Source organism: Homo sapiens, chromosome 12 (genome assembly GCF_000001405.40).
Source record: "Homo sapiens chromosome 12, GRCh38.p14 Primary Assembly".
Lineage (NCBI taxonomy): Eukaryota > Metazoa > Chordata > Mammalia > Primates > Hominidae > Homo > Homo sapiens.
In genome coordinates this window covers 6,796,777-6,810,642 of record NC_000012.12, presented here as the reverse complement: position 1 = coordinate 6,810,642, position 13,866 = coordinate 6,796,777, and the positions used below count along the sequence as shown (strand labels likewise).

General features: G+C 45.8%; 1 protein-coding gene across 9 annotated transcripts in view; it reads right to left on the bottom strand.

The window, feature by feature from the left end:
* CD4 (CD4 molecule) overlaps window positions 1-13,866 on the bottom strand; it is a 31,272-nt gene that overhangs the window by 10,157 nt on the left and 7,249 nt on the right. For 2 of the 9 annotated variants that reach the window (NM_001382706.1, NM_000616.5), the window contains exons 2-3: window positions 10,456-10,571; window positions 10,172-10,336 (exon numbers count right to left, since the gene is read on the bottom strand). The exons of 5 other annotated variants lie outside the window; for them this stretch is intronic. Coding sequence is in view for 3 of the 4 variants with exons in the window: in NM_000616.5 (NP_000607.1) it covers window positions 10,172-10,336; window positions 10,456-10,504 (214 nt within the window). In the remaining variant the exon portion in view is untranslated. Of the gene's footprint in view, window positions 1-10,171; window positions 10,337-10,455; window positions 10,572-11,019; window positions 11,106-13,866 lie in introns of all 9 variants that reach the window. 2 more of the 9 variants (NM_001382707.1, NM_001382714.1) reach the window with 2 other exon arrangements.

The window sequence follows — 13,866 nt, the reverse complement described above, 5'->3', positions numbered from 1 at the left end:
TTCTTCGTCTTGAACTCTTGCTCTGACATCTACATTTAGGTGTTGTCCCAGACTCTGTCTTTGGTTCTCTTCCCCGTTTCTACAGACATTCTAAATTCCACCTCATCCCCAGTCAGCTCTGCAGATTGTGGCCAAGTTGTTACTGCCAGCCCTGACCTCTCTCCTCAGTTCTAGGCACACATTTCCAATGGTCCAAGAAATAAGTTTATGTTAATATCCTGCCATCACCCCAAACGCAATTGGTTCAAAATGAAATGTATAACCCTCCTCCTAAAATAACTCTGCCTCCTTGCTTCTCTTCAAAAGAAAACCATGGCCTGCTTGTCCATGCTGTCCCATACTTTGAAAAAGCTATGGCAAGATAATATGAAAGGTCTAAGCATATGAGTGAGTCTGGGACAAATTCATGGGACAACTGGTATTGAATGAAGACTTAAAAGAGGTATGGGCCTGTGGCAGGTGCGGTGGCTCACGCCTGTAATCCCAGCACTCTGGGAGGCCGAGGCAGGTGGATCACCTGAGGGCAGGAGTTCAAGACCAGCCTGGCCAACATGGTGAAACCCAGTCTTTACTAAAAATACAAAAATTAGCCAGGAATGGTGGTGCACGCCTGTAATCCCAGTTACTCGGGAGGCTGAGGCAGGAGAATCCCTTGAACCCAGGAGACAAAGGTTGCAGTGAGCCGAGATCGCGCCACTGCACTCCAGCCTGGATGAGAGAGAGAGACTCCATCTCAAAAAAAAAAAAAAAAAGAGGTATAGGCAATGGACTAGAGACGGGGAGCAGCAAGGACATTACAGGAAGGGAGAAAAGCTCCAGAGAGGCAGCACAGGCAAGCTGTGGGGAAACCTCCTGGGTGCAGAGGTTTCCACTGGGAAACTGAGCAGTGGCGCTGAGAGGGTGAACGTCCTGCAGAGGCTTCTAGGCTTAGTCTAATGGGCTAGGATGTGGCATGTGCAAAGCATGGCTTTGGAAGGCAATGCTGCAGCAGGGGGAAGGGAAATCCAAGTAGGCGAGACTAGTAGCAGACCAAATTACCTGGAAGCTCACTGTAATCCAGGTGGGAGGTATGTGAGCCTTGGCTGGTGATGGTGGCATTCCCATGGGAACAAAGAAGAGGAAGAAACTAGAACATTTTTTTTTTTTTGAGACAGGGTCTCACTCTGTCACCTAGGCTGGGGTGCAGTGGCGCAATCACGGCTCACTGCAACATCTACCTCGTGGGCTCAAGAGATCCTGCCACCTCAGCCCCCCAAGTAACTGGGACTACAAGCATGTGCCACCACTCCCGACTAACTTTTGTATTTTTTGTAGAGACGAGGTTTCGCCCTGTTGCCCAGGCTGGTCTCGAAATCCTCAGGTCAAGTCATCCAGCCGCCTCAGCCTCCCAAAGTGCTAGGATTACAATAGGTGGCAGACATCATGCCCGGCCCAAAACACTTTCAAAGCAAGGAAAGGTCATAATTGATGACGATAGGAAACCAGGGATTGAAGCAGAGAAAAAAACATGACTCTGTGTTTCAGAAATTGGGAGAACAAGGAGGGTGATACTGTTATTGTTAGAAATCAGGAAGTTGGGAAGGGGAGCTGTTCTGAAGGAAGATGAGATCCATAGAAACAGAACAAAAGCATCAACACAAAAGACTTAAGAATTTTTGGAAAGTAGTGCATTGTTTTAATCTCATAGGCAGTGAAAGAAATGCAAATTAAAACAATGATATATTTTTCAATTATAAAATTGCCCCCCCCAAAAGTTTTAAATAATACTACTCAGTGCTGACAAGATGTGCTCAAAAAGTTCATATCCTTAATTTCATTTCTGGAACTTTATCCTTAAAACAATAATTTTAAAATGCAAACCATAATTTAGCTACAAAAATAATACTTACAGCATTGTTAATAGGATACAATGTTAGACAAAATGATAATGGCCATATATTAGGGGACAATTAATTTGATGGAATTCTAGGTTAGCACCAAAACCAATATTTACAAATAACTTACAATGAAATAGAAAATACTAATAATATACATTTCTAAGTTGTCTTAAGATAATCTTTACTTACAGAAGTAAGCTCTTGGCTTTTTAAAAAGAAGAAAATTATCTCACAAAGTAGGGAAGGAAAAGAAGAAAAATTTAAAAAAAAAGGTAAACTTCACTTTTTTTTTTTTTTTTTTTTTTTTTTTTTTTTGAGACAGAATCTCACTTTGTCACCCAGGCTGGAGTGCAGTAGTGTGATCTCGGCTCGCTGCAACTTCGCCTCCTGGGTTCAAGTGATTCTCCTGCCTCAGCCTCCCAAGTAGCTGCAACTACAGGCGGGTGCCACCACGCCCAGCTAATTTTTTGTATTTTAGTAGAGACGGGGTTTCACTGTGTTAGCCAGAGTGGCTCAATCTCCTGACCTCGTGATCCACCCGCCTTGGCCTCCCAAAGTGCTGGGATTACAGGCGTGAGCCACTGCGCCTGGCCAATCTTCACTTTTTAGGTTAGTCATTTGAACTACAAAAATTATACGCTTTCCTGGCCCTGCCTGCCTGCTTTTTTTTTTTTTTTTTTTTTTTTGAGAAAGAGCCTCACTCTGTCGCCCAAGCTACAGTGTAGTGGCGTGATCTCGGCTCACTGCAACCTCCACCTCCCGGGTTCAAGCAATTCTCCTGCCTCAGCCTCCCGAGTAGCTGGGACTACAGGCACTTGCCACCACGCCCAGCTAATTTTTGTATTTTTAGTAGAGACCGGTTTTGCCATGTTGGCCAGGCTGGTCTCGAACTCCTGGACTCAAGCCATCCACCCGTCTCAGCCTCCCAAAGAGCTGAGATTACAGATGTGAGCCACCACGCCTAGCATTAAACTAAACTTATTATTTTGAGATAATTGTAGATTCACTTGCAGTTGTAAGAAGTAATACAGAGAAATCCTATGTGCCCTCTATCCAGTTTACTCTGATGGTAATAACTTGCAAAACTGTAGCACTATATCTCAACCAGTATGCTCACATTGACACAATCAGAATACAGAACATTTCCGGCGCCATAAGGTTGTTGCTTTTTGTAGCCATACCCCTTCCCCTCCCCATCCCTGAGCCCCTTAACCCCTGGCAATCACTCATCTGTTCTCCATTTCTATAATTAGTTATTTTAAGAATGTTATATAAATGGATTAATACAGTATATTACCTTTTGAGATTGGCTTTTTTTCACTCAGCATAATTCCCTGGAGATTCATCCAGGTTGTGGTGTGTACTATGATTCATCCTTTTTATTGCTGAAAAGTATTTCGTGGTATGGATGTAATCATTCACCAGTTGAAGGACATCTAGATTGTTTCTAATTGTTGGCTACCATGAATAAAGCTGCTATGAACATTTGTGTGCAGCTTTTTGTGTGGGCATAAGTCTTCATTGCTCTAGGATAAATGCCTAGGGGTGCAATATTGCTGGATTGTTGCATGTTTTTTGTTTGTTTGTTTTTGTTTTTTTGAGACGGAGTCTCCCTCCGTCTCCCAGGTTGGAGTGCAATGGCGCGATCTCGGCTCACTGCAAGCTCCGCCTCCCGGGTTCACACCATTCTCCTGCCTCAGCCTCCCGAGTAGCTGGGACTACAGGCGCCCGCCACCACGCCCGGCTAATTTTTTGTATTTTTAGTAGAGACAGGGTTTCACCGTGTTAGCCAGGATGGTCTCGATCTCCTGACCTCGTGATCCACCCGCCTCGGCCTCCCAAAGTGCTGGGATTACAGGCGTGAGCTACCGCGCCCGGCCGCATGTTTTGTTTTATAAGAAACTATCAAACTGTTTTCCAGAGTGGCTTTGCCATTTTAGCCTCCCACCAATATTGGAAGAATGACCCAGTTTCTCCACATCCTCATCAGCATTTGGTGGTGTTCCAATTTTGTATTTAGCCATTCTGATAGGTTTAGTGATAGCCTATTGTGGTTTTAATGTACATATCCCTAATGATTAATGATGTTGAACAACTTTTCATGTGCTTATTTGCCAACTGTATGTCCTTTTCGGCCTGTTTTCTAATTGAATTGTTCATTTTTTTGGTTTTGAGTTTTGAGAGTTGTTTATCATATTCTAGATACCAGTCCTTTGCTAAGTATGTGGATTGTGAATATATTTTCTTATATTCTGTAAACTGTCTTTTCTTATTATTCTTCTTTTTTGATATAGGGTCTCGCTCTGTTGCCCAGGCAACCAGGCAACATCTTGGCTCACTGCAACCTCTGCCTCCCTGGCTCAGTGATTCTCCCACCTCAGCCTCCTGTGTCGTTGGGAATACAGGTGCACCCAGCCTGGGTGACAGAGCAAGACTCTGTCTCAAAAATAAATAAATAAATAAAAATAAATTTTAAATATATGTGTACACACACGTGTGTGTATAGATGTATATTCACAATAAATAGATGTATATACATCTATTCACCTGTATGTGTATATATATGTGTATATACTTGTGTATGTGTGTGTGTGTGTGTGTGTGTGTGTATGTACCTTTTTTTTTTTTTGGTAGAGACGGGGTTTCCTCATGTTGCCCAGGCTGATCTCAAACTTCTGGGCTGAAGTGATCAGCCTGCCTCAGCCTCCCAACGTGCTGGGATTACAGCGGTGAGCCACTGTGCCCAGCCTCTTTTCTTCTTCTTAATAGGGATTTTGCAGAGCAAAATTATTTTGGTTTTGTTTTTGTTTTTGAGACAGGGTCTCCCTTTGTCACTTAGGCTGGAGTGCCAGCTGGAATGCAGTGACACAATCATAGCTCACTGCAGTCGTGAACACCTGGGCTCAAGCGATCTTCCCACCTCAGCCTCCCAAAGTGCTAGGATTACAGGTGTAAGCCACTACACCTGGCCAACTTGTTTATATCTACAAAAAATCTTGCTGGTATTTTTATAGGAATTGGATTAAACTTGTATATTAATTTGGGGAAAATTGATATCTTTCTTATGTTGAGTCTTCCAATCCATCAATCCATGAGTACAGCATGTCTCTCCATATATTTAGATCTTCTTTGACTTCTTTAATCAGCATCGTGTAGTTTTTAGCATACAATTCAATGCTTTCTTTTTTCTTTTTTTTTTTTTCGGGAGACAGACTCTTACTCTGTTGCCCAGGCTGGAGTGCAGTGGAACAGTCTTGGCTCACTGCAACCTCTGCCTCCCGGGTTGAAGCAATTCTCCTGCCTCAGCCTCCAAAGTAGCTGGGATCAGGCATGCGCCACAACACCTGCCTAATTTTTGCATTTTTAGTAGAGACGGGGTTTCACCATGTTGGCCAGGCTGGTCTCAAACTCCCGACTTCAAGTGATCCGCCAGCCTCAACTTCCCAAAGTGCTGGGATTACAGGCATGAGCCACTGCACCTGGCCCTACGCATGTTTTTTAGATTTACACCTAAGTATTTCTTTCTCTCTTTCTTTTTCTTTTCTTTTCTTTTCTTTTCTTTTTTTTTTTTTTTTTTTTTTGAGATAGGGTCTTGCTCTCCTACCGAGGCTGGAAAGCAGTGGTGTGATCATGGCTCACTGCAGCCTTGCCCTCCTAGGGCTCAAGCAATCCTCCCACCTCAGCCTCCCCAGTAGCTGGGACTACAGGCATACACCATAATGCTCAGCTAATTTTTTTTTTTTTTTTTTTGAGACGTAGTCTCACTGTGTCACCCAGGCTGGAGTGCAGTGGCACAATCTCAGCTCACTGCAAGCTCCGCCTCCCAGGTTCACGCCATTCTCCTGCCTCAGCTTCCCGAGTAGCTGGGTCTACAGGCGCCTGCCACCACATCCAGCTAATTTTTTGTGTTTTTAGTAGAGACAGGGTTTCACCGTGTTAGCCAGGATGGTCTCGATCTCCTGACCTCATGATCCGCCCGCCTCAGCCTCCCAAAGTGTTGGGGTTACAGGAGTGAGCCACTGCACCCGGCCATGCTCAGCTAATTTTTTACTTTTTGTAGAGACAAGGTCTCACTATGTTGCCCGGGCTGGTCTTGAACTCCTGGGCTTAAGCAATCTTCCCACCTTGGCCTCCCAAAGTGCAGGAATTACAGGTGTGAGCCACCATGCCTGGCCTTTTTGAGCAATTATAAATGGTATTGTAGTTTTAATTTCTGTGTACACATGTTCCTTGCTAATATATAGAAATACAATAGATTTTTTATGTTTATCTTATATTCTGCAACCTTGATGAATTCATTTATTAATTCTAAGAAGTTTCTTACAGATTCTTTGAGATTTTCTATGTAATCATGTCATCCACAAATAGGAACAGTTTTATTTCTTTCTTTCTGATCAGTTTTCCTTTTATTTCATTTTTCTTGCCTTATTGCACTGGCAAGGGATTGCAGTATTATGTTGAATAAGAGTAGTAAGAGCAGACATCTTTGTCTTATTCCTGCACTTAGGGAGAAAGAATTCAGTTTTTCACCATTAAATATAATGTTAGTTGTAGTAGGGTGGGTCTTTTGCATTGTGTGTGTGTGTGTGTGTGTGTGTGTGTGCTTTTTATTTTATTTATTTATTTATTTATTTATTTATTTATTTATTTATTTTGAGACAGAGTCTTGCTCTGTCGCCTAGGCTGGAGTGTAGTGGCGCGATCTCAGCTCACTGCAACCTCTGCCTCCTGGGTTCAAGTGATTCTCCTGCCTCAGCCTCCCAAGTAGCTGGGACTATAGGTGTGTGCCACCACACCTGGATGACTTTTTGTATTTTTAGTAGAGGCAGGGTTTCACTGTGTTAGCCAGGATGGTCTTGATCTCATGACCTCATGATCTGTCCACCTCGGCCTCCCAAAGTGCTGGGATTACAGGCGTGAGCCACCACTCCTGACCTTTATTTACTTATTTATATTTTATTTATTTATTTATTTATTTTTTGTGATGGAGTCTCACTCTGTCACTCAGGCTGGAGTGCAATGGCACGGTCTCAGCTCACTGCGACCTCCGCCTCCTGGGTTCACGCAATTCTCCTGCCTCAGCCTCCTGGATAGCTGGGATTACAAGTGCCCGCCACCACGCCTGGCTAATTTTTTGGTATTTTTAGTAGAGACGGGGTTTCACCGTGTTAGCCAGGATGATCTTGATCTCCTGACCTCGTGATCCGCCTGCCACAGCCTCCCAAAGTGCTGGGATTACAGGCGTGAGCCACCACGCCCGGCCCCACAAGCAATTCTTATAATAACACCTTTCCATAGATATTATTAAGTGTTCACTGGTCAGGCGTGGTGGCTCACACCTGTAATCCCAGCACTTTGGGAGGCCAAGGTGGGTAGATCACTTGAGGGTAGAAGTTCCAGACCACCCTGGTCAACATGGTGAAACCCCATCTACTAAAAATGCAAAAATTAGCCAGACATGGTGGTGCACACCTGTAATCCCAGCTGCTCAGGAGGCTGAGGCAGGAGAATCACTTGAACCCAGGAGGTGGAGGTTGCAGTTAGCCGAGATCATGCCACTGCACTCCAGCCTAGGCGTCCAAATGAGACTCTGTCTCAAAAAAACAACAAAAAAGAATATTCACAATTTTATTTCTGTCAAGTAGACTTTCCAAAATAGCTATTATTAGGTCCAAGGGTTTTAGAGTTTTGTATTCGTTAAACATTGCCAGATTACTTTAAATAGTTAGTCTAGGCCGAGTGCGGTGGCTCACACCTGTACTCCCAGCACTTTGGGAGGCCAAGCCGGGCTGATCACGAAGTCGAGAGATTGAGACCATCCTGCTAGCATGGTGGAACCCTGTCTCTAATAAAAAAATAAAAAAGTTAGCTGGGCATGGTGGCACGTGTCTGTAGTCCCAGCTACTCGGGAGGCTGAGGCAGAATTGCTTGAACCTGGGAGGCAGAGGTTGCAGCGAGCTGAGATCGCGCCATTGCACTCCAGCCTAGGTGACAGACCGAGACTCCGTCTCAAAAAAAAGAAAAAAAGTCTAATAATTGGTAGTCTCATTATGATATAACTTAAGGAAGGAGTAGGAAAAAAGGTATATACAGTATGATATCATTTACGTAATTATGTATATAATATTCTCCACGCCGAACAACAGTGGAAGAAAATAGGCCACATGCAGTGGCTCATACCTATAATCCCAGCACTTTGGGAGGCCAAAGCGGGAAGATCACTTGAGCCTAGGAATTCAAGACCAGCCTGAGCAACATGGTGAAGTCTCATCTCTACAAAAAGTAAAAAATTAGGTGAACATGGTGGCGTGCACCTGTAGTCCCAGCTACTGGGAAGGCTGAAGTGGGAAGATCACTTGAGGCTGTGATGTGTTGTGGTCATGCCACTGTACTCCAGCCTGGGCAGCAGAGTGAGACCCTGTCTCAAAAAGAAAAAAAAAAAAAAAGATTGGAAGAAAATCAATCAAAATGTTAGCAGAGGATATCTCTGAGTGATAGAAGTATGCATGCATTTGATTTTCTTCCATATTCTTTTCTTCATTGACCAAATATTTTGTAATGAGCATATAATAGTTTTAAAACCAGGAGAAAAGGCCAAGTGCAGTAGCTCATGCCTGTAATCCCAGCACTTTGGGAGGCTAAGGTGGGAGAATCACTTGAGGTCAGGAGTTCAAGACCAGCCTGGCCAATATGATGAAAACCGGTCTCTACTAAAAATACGCAAATTAGCCGGGCATGGTGGCACACGCCTGTAGTCCCAGCTACTCAGGAGGCTGAGGCAGGAGAATTGCTTGAACCTGGGAGGCAGAGCTTGCAGTGAGCCAAGATCATGCCCACTGCACTCCAGCCTGGGCAACAGATCGAGAGTTTGCCTCAAAAAAAAAAAAGTAGAAAAAAATGATTCTGGGCCGGGCACAGTGACTCACGCCTGTAATCCCAGCACTTTGGGAGGCCAAGGAGGGTAAATCACGAGGTCAGGAGATCAAGACCAGCCTGGCTAACACCGTGAAACTCTGTCTCTACTAAAAGTACAAAAAATTAGCCAGGCATGGTGGCATACGCCTGTAGTCCCAGCTACTCGGGAGGCTGAGGCAGGAGAATCACTTGAACCCGGGAGGTGGAGGTTGCAATGAGCCAAGATCACGCCACCGCACTCCAGCCTGGGCGACAGAACGAGACTCTGTCTCAAAAAAATAAATAAATAAACTAATAATAATAATAATAAATNTGCAGCTTTTTTTTTTTTTTTGAGATGAAGTCTTGCTCTGTCACCCAGGCTGGAGTGCAGTGGTGCAATCTCAGCTCACTGCAGCCTTTGCCTCCCAGGTTCAAGCGAGTCTCCTGCCTCAGCCTCCTGAGTAGCTGGAAGTACAGGACTGCACCCCCACACCTGGCTAATTTTTGTATTTTTAGTAGAGACCGGGTTTCACCATGTTGGCCAGACTGGTCTTGAACTCCTGACCNCCGGTGATCTGCCCACCTCAAACTCCCAAAGTTCTGGATTACAGGTGTGAGCCACTACAGCCGGCCTTTTTTTTTTTAATTAAAAAAATTTTTTTTGGCTAGGCATAGTGACACACACCTGTAATTCCAGCACTCTGAGAGGCCAAGGTGAGTGGATCACTTGAGCTCATGAGTTCGAGACCAGCCTGGCCAACATGGTGAAACCCTGTCTCTATAAAAAATACAAAAATTAGCCTGGCATGGTGGTGCATGCCTGTAGTCCCAGCTACTTGGGAGGCTGAGGTGGGATGATGACTTGAGCCTGGGAGGTGGAGATTGCAGTGAGCCGAGATCACACCACTGCACTGGAGCCTGGGTGATAGAACTAGACCTTGTCTCCAAAAAAAATATATATATATTTTTTTTCATAGAGACAGAGTCTCACTATGTTGTTCAGGCTGGTCTTGAACTCCTGGACTCAAGCAATCCTCCGGCCTCAGCCTCCCACAGTGCTAGGATTATACATATGAGTCACTGTGCAAAGTATTATCTACATAGGTCTGTAGCAACAATACTCAAGAAATCACGGGTTTTAAGTGATAGTGATTGTTCTAAAACTCACTAAAATAAGTTCATGAATATTAAATATTAAAATATTGAAATTCACATACCACCTTTCCCTGGGCCACCAGCAGTTGGTGTAGAGAAACTCTGGATAAGAATGCCACTGAGTTTCTGTCAACCCAAGCCCTCTGGGATCCCAGAGTTTAACTAAGACCAGATCTCAGACACCAAAGGCTTTCACTCCATAGTGTGTTTTCCTCCCTGGATGGGGAGCCAGGCAACCCTACCTTTAGTTAAGAAGGAGCCCTGATTTCCCAGAATCTTTATCTGGTTGGAGTTTTTCCAGTGGAATTGTATGCTCTTCTTCTGGGAAGCTGTACAGGTCAGTTCCACTGTATCCCCTTTTTTGCCCAGCACCACTTTCTTTCCCTGAGTGGCTGCTGGGAGGAGCGCTAAGTGGAAAAGAAAGGAGTCAGGTCTCAATGTCGCCGCTGTCCCCCTCTACCCCATCCTCCACCTTTGCCTTTCCTCCCACGTCATCTGCATTGAGACCCCAGGTCTGAGAACTTACCCAGTTGCAGCACCAGAAGCAAGTGCCTAAAAGGGACTCCCCGGTTCATTGTGGCCTTGCCGAGGGAGGCAGGGGCCTGAGCCAGTAGGGACCTGAGCCCACAGAAATGGCAGGGCCTGAGGGAAATGCCAATCATTAGTCAGCAAACATTTACTGGACCTGGAGTATACAGGGGCGATACACAACCTCTCCCTCAGGACCCTTGCAGCCAGCCTAGTGAACTTGAGGCAGGAGAATAGCAGAGGGAATTGGAGGTTGGATTAAGGAAGGAATGAGTAGGAGCAGAAGCAAGAGAAAGAGGCAGGTGAGCAAAAACAGAAGATAAATAAGTGAATAAGGAGCCCCATGGCTGGCTAGATCCAAACCAAACCAGTTAGGAGCAGCTCCTAAGAGATGGGCATATACTAGGCTGGGTGCGGTGGCTCATGCCTGTAATCCCAGTGCTTTGGGAGGCCGAGGTGGGTGGATCACTTGCGGTCAGGAGTTCGAGATCAGCCTGGCCAACATGGTGAAACCCCATCTCTACTAAAAATACAAAAATTAGCCGGGCGTGGTGGCATGCACCTGTAGTCTCAGGTGCTTAGGAAGCTGAGGCAGGAGAATCACTTGAACCAGGGAGGAGGAGGTTGCAGTGAGCCAAGATTGCACCACTGCAAAAAAAGATGCACATGTACTACAGAGAAAAGATATCCTCAAAATGACCCCGTATAGTAATTAGCTACTTAAGGTTCATGCCTACAGAGTGCATATCATGCATGTACTTAAAACTATGGGAAGGAAATGACACGTAAACACACAGAGGCCAAGAAACTAAGCAACCCACCTGTCAACCAAAAGGCACATGCTGGCTAAAGCTTAGGCAGCTTGAGGAAAAAGAGAAAAAAAACACATAGAAAAGGCCATGAAATATAGCAAAGTGATGCTGATACCATTCGCAGGTCATCCTTGATCCATAGTGGATCGTACTGTGCTTAATAAACTTTTGCTGCTTTGCTATTTGTGTGTGTCATGTCCAATTTTTTGTTTGCGGCACCAACAACTTGGGACTTCACAACATCAGCCAGTAACAAAGTAAACTTGCACACCCCTAACTGGATGCTCTGAGATACACACCACGAAATGCTATGCTCAGGCCAGGAGGGGGTTCTTTGCTGGGATGAGTGAGGAGGGGATCAGAAAAGGATGCATGGAGAAGGTGGCAAATTGGCGGGGAGACCATGGAGCCAGGCCAGGACGTGGAAATGCTTGAAGGCCGTGCTGAGATGCTGGGACTGGATCCTGGGCACTAGAGAGCCAGCAGAGGATTTTCTATAGAGAAGAAGATTATTAGATTTGCCACGTGGACCCCTGCAGCTGCTGAGTGAAAGAACTGGAGGAGGCGAGGCACCAAAGGCAGAACTGCAACCATCCTGGTCAGCAAAGGGCCTGAGCCAAGTGGCTGTAGAAATGTGTGGGACAGTTCTAAGGTGACGTTCCCAAGAATTGGGGCCTGATACAGCGTGAGAGGTATGGGGAAAAGAAAGAGAGATCAGATTGTTACTGTGTCTATGTAGAAAAAGGAAGACATAAGAAACTCCATTTTGATCTGTACTAAGAAAAATTGTTCTGCTTTGAGATGCTGTTAATCTGTAACTTTTGTCCCAACCCTGTGCTCACAAAAACATGTCCTGTATTGAATCAAGGTTTAATGGATCTAGGGCTGCGCAAGATGCACTTTTAAAAAGTTCTTGCCTCACACGTGTAATCCCAGCATTTTGGGAGGCCAAGGCGGGCGGATCATGAGGTCAGGAGATCGAGACCATCCTGGTGAACACGGTGAAACCCCATCTCTACTAAAAAAATACAAAAAAATTAGCCGGGCGTGGTGGCGGGCGCCTGTAGTCCCAGCTACTCGGGAGGCTGAGGCAGGAGAATGGCGTGAACCCGGGAGGCAGAGGTGGCAGTGAGCCGAGATCGCGCCACTGCACTCCAGCCTGGGCGACAGAGCAAGACTCTGTCTCAAAAAAAAAAAAAAAGAAAAGTTCTTGCAGGCAGTGTGCTTGGTGAAAGTCATCACCATTCTCCGTTCTCTATTAACCAGAGACACAATACACTGTGGAAGGCCGCAGGAACCCCTGCCCGAGAAAGCCTAGGTATTGTCCAGGTTTCCCCCCACTGAGACAGCCTGAGATATGGCCTCATGGGAAGGGAAAGACCTTACAGCCCCCCAGCCCGACACCCGTAAAGGGTCTGTGCTGAGGAGGATTAGTGAAGGAGGAAGGCCTCTATTCGGTTGAGATAAGAGGAAGGCATCTGTCTCCTGCTCGTCCCTGGGAATGGAATGACCCGGTGTAAAACCGATCATACATTCTATTTTGAGAGAGGAGAAAACTGCCTTATGTCTGGAGGCGAGACATCATGGCGGCAATACTGCTCTGTTACTCTTTACTACACTGAGATGTTTGTGTAAAGTTAAACATAAATCTAGCACATCCAGGCACAGCACCTTTCCTTAAACTTATTTATGACACAGAGTCTTTGCTCATATGTTTTTCTGCTGACCCTCTCCTCACCTTCACCCTATAGCCCCACCACATTCCCCTCGCGGAGATAGTAAAGATAGTGATCAATAAATACTGAGGGAACTCAGAGACCAGCACCGGTGCAGGTCCTCACTTGCTGAGCGCCGGTCCCCTGGGCCCACTTTTATTCCTCTATACTTTCTCTGTGTCTTATTTCTTTTCTCAGTCTCTTGTCTCCACCTTGCGAGAAATACCCACAGGTGTGGAGGGGCAGGCCCCCTTCAGAGAGGTCAGGGGAGAAAGAGCAGAGGGCCATTTCTCTGTCCAATATCAGACCAACCCTACAAGGCCTCTGAGTGGGCCAAGCAGAAGGCGTTGGTCCAGGGTTTGGATGAAGGAGAGTTTCCTGTGCGCTTGGCAGACAGGCGAGACTGGGGGTGGTGGGGGCAGGGCAGAGAGGCTCTGAATGGACCATGGGGAATGGACAGCTGTAGATTAGAGGAGCGATTCCCAAAGTCCTGGATCAGTAGCAGCGGCAACATGACCTGGGAACTTGTTAGAAATGCAGATCCTCGGCCCCACCCCAGACCTGCTGAATCAGAAACTGGGGGTGGGTCTAGTCATCTGGGTTTTCACAAATCTCCAGGTAACTGATCACGCTCAAGTTTGAAAACCATAAGTTAGATGGAGAGGAAAGGGGAGAGGTGTCCCCATTCTGAGGTGTGCAAAGGTGGTAGGGATGTGCGAGGAGGCTTCGGAGGAAAGAGAGGGCTCAGGGAGGTGATGGTGGAAGAAGGTATGGGAAAAGCCTTTGAGGCTTGACTGTAAATCTTTTTATTTTTAGTTTAGATCCACTCTGTCACCCAGGCCAGAGTGCAGTGGTTCAATCATAGGTCATTGCAGCCTGGAA